The following is a 7,320-nucleotide window of genomic DNA, read 5'->3' on the forward strand; positions in this document are numbered from 1 at the left end:
TTGAAATCTGCTGAATATGTCTTTACTGTTAATTTTTAGTTTTCATTCTTCCCTTGAAAGGAAGGAATTTGATGTAGCTTCCTCAGGCGTGTTTTTACAAAATCCTAGAGCAAACTTTCTCATAAAATTTACTCAAACTTTATTTAAAAATGCAACAGACCAATCAAAAAAAATCTTGACACTATCCATATTAATAAAAATCTGTTTGCCACCACAGACATGGAGGTATCTTCATCTTCTGTTACCACAATGGCAAGTATCCCAGAAATCACACCTAAAGTGATTGATACCTGGAGACCTAAACTGACAAGCTCTCGGAAATTTGTAGTTCAAGATGATCCAAACACTTCTGATTTTACTGATCCTTTATCGGGTATCCCAAAGGGTAAGGCCTCAGCAGGGACCTCATCTCTAACTGCGTGGAAACCTGATCCTTAATGTCACTGAGGAGTATGTGGTTCTCCAGAGGTGGGCCTCACAGGAGCTTCTGCGGTTGTACCTCCACCGCCCCTTGCCACAGTCTCTCTGGCTTTCTGTGGTTATATCTGAGTGCATTCCTTAAAAGATAAAAGAGGTGGAAAGCTGTTGGAGAAAAGGCTGGTGAAGCAGCCACTCAGACAATCTAATCTGTGTTGATTTCTGTCTGAAGAAGCAGAGAGCCTGCTGGATTTCAGGGAATTTCGAGGGTCACCGCAGCAACATCAAAAAACAAAACTCATTAATTGCAAATATCCTGATATCAGATGTTTTGTCTAGGAGCCTTTCCCAGACTCTTGTTTAGCTTCAATTCAAAATGCAATCTGAAAAGGATATGTGAGATGCTAAGTTGCTTGAATGCCACAAGCAATAAAACATAACAGAGTGCTCGTCCATAACTATCATTTTCAGCCCGTAATAGGAGCAGTTATAAAATAGCTGCCTGTTGAGTTAGCTTATTAAATATATTACTCTAGGAAAAAAAAATCTATTCTTTAGTACTTACTAAACTATGGTATCAGGTTTCCAATCAGTTTTTATGGCAGCACATTGTCATTTATGATTTATATCGGTTGATTTTCATTTTATATGTTTTCGTTGTAACCAATTTTATAATCATTCTTCTTTCTGCTTTGCTTTCTTTAGTAACACCATTTTTTTCTACTTTTCTTTCTCGGTCTTTCACAGTGCCACTGAATTCCATAACATTAATTAAACATTAATTAAAAACAACTAATGTTCAAAGGCCTTAGTACTAACTTAAAGCAACAGAATCTTCAAAATCACTCTGACTTACCTTACTCTGGGATAGCTGTGTTTATAGCATGTAACAGACTTGAATACCTCTTAAACTAACTTTTTTTTATTAATTGTTAGATGTCTGTGGTTGCATTAAAAGGTTAAGTTTAATTTCAGTAATTATAAACTAATTTGCTCTTCTTTTTCTAGGTCTAATTTAAATATTTTCAAATATCTTCAGATAATTTGACAGTTTACTTAACTAATACATAGTATGTTTCCTTAGACTGTCTGGGTTTCTTACATAGTCGGTCATTCAAGAGTGCTTCACCCCAAGATGGAATGAAAAAAAAAATCCAAGCAAACATGAAAGTCTCTATTTATAGCTAACAGTGATCAAGCAGATATTTTTGGTTTGTGAACAAATTATATGTTCATATTAAAGTTAGTATAATTGTATCAGAGTAATTATTTTAGCATATGTTTATGCTAATTATTACATTTTCCTATATCCTAGTAGCTACCTTTTAATCCTGAATTAAGAGAAAATTATGAGACAAAACATATGAGTTTAAAGTTAGCTATTTAGAAAATATACACTTCTAACTATTTTTTAGATAGAAACTCTTACATTTTTAACATGTAACAACTATTTATGAGGGATTGGAGGAAAAGAACAGAAGAATACAGATCAGTGGGAGATTAGAGTTATCCTGGCATTTGCAGCAATCCTGTATGTCTCTGGGGATCCTAGTTTGATTAAAGACAAAATATACAAGGAATTTTGGAGTCTACTTGACCCTCCGAGCTAAGCATATGAACCATATGAAGGTCGTGTTGGCTCACTGAAAGCCATTTGCTATTTATTATTATTTTTAAAAAGCACCTTATTCACATTGTCCCATGTGTCTATTTCAGGTGTACGATGGGAAGTCCAGTCTGGAGAGTCCAACCAGATGGTCCACATGAATGTCCTCATCACCTGTGTCTTTGCTGCTTTTGTTTTGGGGGCATTCATTGCAGGTGTGGCAGTATACTGCTATCGAGACATGTTTGTTCGGAAAAACAGAAAGATCCATAAAGATGCAGAGTCCGCCCAGTCATGCACAGACTCCAGTGGAAGTTTTGCCAAACTGAATGGTCTCTTTGACAGCCCTGTCAAGGAATACCAACAGAATATTGATTCTCCTAAACTGTATAGTAACCTGCTAACCAGTCGGAAAGAGCTACCACCCAATGGAGATACTAAATCCATGGTAATGGACCATCGAGGGCAACCTCCAGAGTTGGCTGCTCTTCCTACTCCTGAGTCTACACCCGTGCTTCACCAGAAGACCCTGCAGGCCATGAAGAGCCACTCAGAAAAGGCCCATGGCCATGGAGCTTCAAGGAAAGAAACCCCTCAGTTTTTTCCGTCTAGTCCGCCACCTCATTCCCCATTAAGTCATGGGCATATCCCCAGTGCCATTGTTCTTCCAAATGCTACCCATGACTACAACACGTCTTTCTCAAACTCCAATGCTCACAAAGCTGAAAAGAAGCTTCAAAACATTGATCACCCTCTCACAAAGTCATCCAGTAAGAGAGATCACCGGCGTTCTGTTGATTCCAGAAATACCCTCAATGATCTCCTGAAGCATCTGAATGACCCAAATAGTAACCCCAAAGCCATCATGGGAGACATCCAGATGGCACACCAGAACTTAATGCTGGATCCCATGGGATCGATGTCTGAGGTCCCACCTAAAGTCCCTAACCGGGAGGCATCGCTATACTCCCCTCCTTCAACTCTCCCCAGAAATAGCCCAACCAAGCGAGTGGATGTCCCCACCACTCCTGGAGTCCCAATGACTTCTCTGGAAAGACAAAGAGGTTATCACAAAAATTCCTCCCAGAGGCACTCTATATCTGCTATGCCTAAAAACTTAAACTCACCAAATGGTGTTTTGTTATCCAGACAGCCTAGTATGAACCGTGGAGGATATATGCCCACCCCCACTGGGGCGAAGGTGGACTATATTCAGGGAACACCAGTGAGTGTTCATCTGCAGCCTTCCCTCTCCAGACAGAGCAGCTACACCAGTAATGGCACTCTTCCTAGGACGGGACTAAAGAGGACGCCGTCCTTAAAACCTGACGTGCCACCAAAGCCTTCCTTTGTTCCTCAAACCCCATCTGTCAGACCACTGAACAAATACACATACTAGGCCTCAAGTGTGCTATTCCCATGTGGCTTTATCCTGTCCGTGTTGTTGAGAGGATGATGTTGTAAGGGTACCTTAAAACAAGAGACTCGCTTGTATTTTAAGAGAACCAAGTGGCCAAAGAAACTCTTTCTAACTTTGGCAACATCAGAACTTGCCACATGTAGCTACTGCAGCAAGGCTTCTGTGTACTTGCCTGAAAACAAAGGAAGGTGCTGGTCATTCCATTTCTTTTGTTTGAAGCTAAAGAGATGTGTAGCTCACAGGGGCTACCTTACCAGTATAAAGAGCTGATAACAGTACTCAGAAGAATCTGTGAACAAATACTTGAAAATGGGTTCAATGTAGACTGCCATTATGTGTGGTCTTCCCATTAAATGTGAACATTTTAATATGTATGCATTCACCTTGCCTCTTGCACAAATGTCAAAAAAAAGATGGTAATATCTCAAAGAAATGAACTTGTAGATTACCAAGCAGTTTGCTAAAAATTCAATCTTTGACCCAAGCTGTAGCATTTTTTTTTCATGTGTGGCATCTTTTTCATGCCACCAACAAACTTGTTGTGTGTGTGCGTGTGTGTGTGTGTGTGTGTGTGTGTGTGTGTGTTCTGTACCCACTAGGATTTGTTTAGGTGCCCATTGCATCTTTTTGTGCTATGGAGTTGTTTACATTAAGCATGACCGAACGAGAGACAATACTATTTCCCACAGGAGTCCATTGGGTTCAGCTTTGAAAGAGGAATAGAATCGAGGCTCCTTTGACCATCAAAATGATGAACTTTACTTATGTGGTACCCAATGCCAGAATGTAAGAGTTGCAAGTGATTTTGTGCTGCTATTCATTAAAACTTGTATTCCAGTCTTGCCAGCTTAAGGAGATCAAGATATTAAGAGGTATCCTTGATTTATTTTCCAGTATTCAGTAGTAAAATTTTCCTGTCCACTGTGAATCAAAGCCTGAGTCACTCTATTTAACCTTGGACACACTAATAAGGTTTTATTTTGATTGTGTTCGTTTCCCCCCCCCCAATAGTAAAATTTCTCCTCCTTTAACTCCTCCTACCCCCCAAGGTAAGAAACAAAAAACAAACAAACAAACAAAAATAGAAGACAAAAGAAAGACATATGAAAGGAATTGTAATTGGCTTAACAGAAACAGTCTGTAAAAACCTAACAGTGGTGCAATCATGTTGTCTGTGTTGTGTTATGTGAGAATTTTCTCCTAAGTCATGCAGGTAATGACAATATACTGTAAATACCACATGTGAGTTTACCTGAATCTGTGCATTTTGTGCCTTATTCATGAGAATGATAGAAGTACTAAAATCTGTCAAGTGTTTTCAGTATAGCACATTATTTACTGAGTGCCAGTTGTAAATGTTTTTCAACCAGCACCTAAAAAGACTCTTTTCAAAAAATCACAGAAACAACCTAGGACAATTATTTGTTACATAATCCGACCTCATAGCAGCATTACATTCTTTGCCGTGATAAACATTCCACTCCTGCTTTCCTAAGGATGAAACAGTGATAATGTGAACTCAAATGAGGTTTCCTGGGTAATGTGACACCTGCAGAAACTATAGAGCGTCATTTATACGTAGTTTGGCAGAAACCACTTACGGCTGATGATGCGCAACCCTGCTGACTGTTTCAGTTAATATGCTGCACACCACACACTTGTTTAGTGAACCAAATCTAGAAAGTACCAAGGCAGAGGTATGCTCCTGCTGTAATCAGGCAAATGAGTTCAACTGGATTTCTTTTGACAATACTGTTGGTACCTATTACTTGGGGGAGGACATGTTGCAGAAGACCAGATCATTTTTATACAGAATGTGAAATACTGATACAGTTATTCTTTTTTTTAAAGAACATTGTTTTATAAAGAACGTGATTTCCAGTGATCTCTGGAAGCGCTAAAGCTAAAATTTCTGTTCTTGAAACACTTCAGCTTTGCAACTAAAATATTACAGATTAATAATAAATTAAACCAACCAATGATAAACACTACTCAGTCCACCAACAACAAACGTGTTTGAATTCACCTTACCAATATTAATCCCAGCGTGTGTAAAACAGAACAGTAACTCTATGTGACCCCAGATAACATTTTGTAACATTGTGCTTCCTTGTAGTTTGTAATGTGAGTTCAATCAGTATTTATGTTGAAATTTCTAACATTAAATCTAGTCTCTATCCTGTTAATTTAATTTTTAAATGCTTTATCCATTTGTGCAAAGGTAAACGCAGATTGTATCTTTTTTAATGGTACGGCATAAAAAGTAACCCTCAAGTGAAGTGTCTCTATACTGTTTTATAGAGTACTTTAACATGAATAGATACCTTGTAAACTTGTATTGTGGATGTGTAAATAATATGTACTTTGGGTTTTTAACACCGCATGTAAAGTCAAAATAAAATATACAAATCATTATATCCTGCCTCTTGATATTGAAGAGGTTTATAACATGTTATATTTTTAAAATATTTTTAAGTCAATCAACACCAGTAATAGTTGCTTTTAAAATCTGCCAAAATATTCTTATCTGGAACAGTTGCTCTCCAGTCATGATTACACTACCATTCTCTCCTTGGAAGGCTGACACTGGAGGTCAGAGCCCCTGAAAAAAATGAGAAACTGTTCAGAAAACCAGTTGAACTGTACTACGTCAACAGTCATATGCTTTAGGCAAACAGTAGTGGTTCACATTGTCCATAGATCTATCTAGTTCAACAGACATTTTTAAAATTCATGATTTGTTTTCCTGCGTGAAATTTTTCACGTAATAGTTCAAAATTATAACTGGCAAACAGGGTTCCCGTGAACATTTCTTGCTATTTGGTATAAGGAGTTTCTCAGTTCCCTTGTTTTAAACAAATAGAATAAATTAGGAGCTCTCTTCCCTAAATATTGAAATGAGAGGTAACAATATGATTCCATGGCTTGCTCTTAGCACGTAATGAGTTGGTGGCTGCTGTCATTGCTTCTCGTGGATGTTGACAGTGGCAGGCCACTTCTGAGAGAGACAACAGGGGTAGGCTGTAGCAATCCCTGCCCTCTTGTTTCTAGCTGCTACTCCTGGCCAAAGCCCATCTGCAGCTCCCATGTGGTCATGTTTTCTCAAGGAGCTTCAGCAGCATCTTTGCTGAACAGCAGAATGGCCATATTCCTGTCTCGAGTCTTATTCTCCTTGATAGTGTCATCTAATTAGGGGTGCTGCATTTCAGTGTCAATTTAGTGGTATCAGAAGTCCTTGTTTATTCCTATCATAGCATGCAATACTCCAGAGACATGAGGAAAAATTTGAAGGAATCTTTTTGTGAGAGAAGAAGACCAGGGGATGGCCTATTTGCCCCATTTCACAGCTCCTGGCACCACAGGTGGTGCCACCAGCCACAGAACCTGACCTTGGCCTTCCAAACTACCCTATCATTGGAAGGAAGTCTGCGTAAGTGCACACCATTATAGTGCTGGAGAAGAGGGTGGAAGGTGTCTCCCATCTTACTGACTTGCAGAAGTCAATTTGTAACTCAGATTTCGAACAAATGGATGAAAGAAGACACAAGGGAAATGCATCTCCAAGCTTGTCTCACTCTGTCGCCCAGGCTGGAGTGCAGTGGCACGATCTCGGCTCCCTGCAACCTCTGTATCCCGGGTTCAAGCAATTCTCCTGCCTCAGCCTCCTGAGTAGCGGGGATTACAGGCACAGGCACTCACCACCATGCCCAGCTAATTTTTGTATTTTTAGTAGAGAAGGGGTTTCACCATGTTGGCCAGGTTGGTCTCGAACTCCTAACCTCAGGTGGTCCACCTACCTCAGCCTTCCAAAGTGCTGGGATTACAGGCATAAGCCACCACACGCAGCCTCTTCCTAGGCTTCTTTAGCATTGCATTA

General features: G+C 39.5%; 1 protein-coding gene across 8 annotated transcripts in view; it reads left to right on the plus strand.

Moving 5' to 3' along the window:
* Positions 1-5,865, plus strand: part of SEMA6D (semaphorin 6D) — a 590,140-nt gene extending 584,275 nt beyond the window's left edge. For 4 of the 8 annotated variants that reach the window (NM_001198999.2, NM_020858.2, NM_153617.2 and 1 more), the window contains one exon: positions 2,134-5,858. In NM_001198999.2, the coding sequence (NP_001185928.1) occupies positions 2,134-3,422 (1,289 nt within the window). In that variant the 3' untranslated portion in view covers positions 3,423-5,858. Of the gene's footprint in view, positions 1-217; positions 386-2,133 lie in introns of all 8 variants that reach the window. The other 4 variants (NM_001358352.2, NM_153618.2, NM_001358351.3 and 1 more) reach the window with 3 other exon arrangements.

Source organism: Homo sapiens, chromosome 15 (assembly GCF_000001405.40).
Source record: "Homo sapiens chromosome 15, GRCh38.p14 Primary Assembly".
Taxonomy (NCBI): Eukaryota; Metazoa; Chordata; class Mammalia; order Primates; family Hominidae; genus Homo; species Homo sapiens.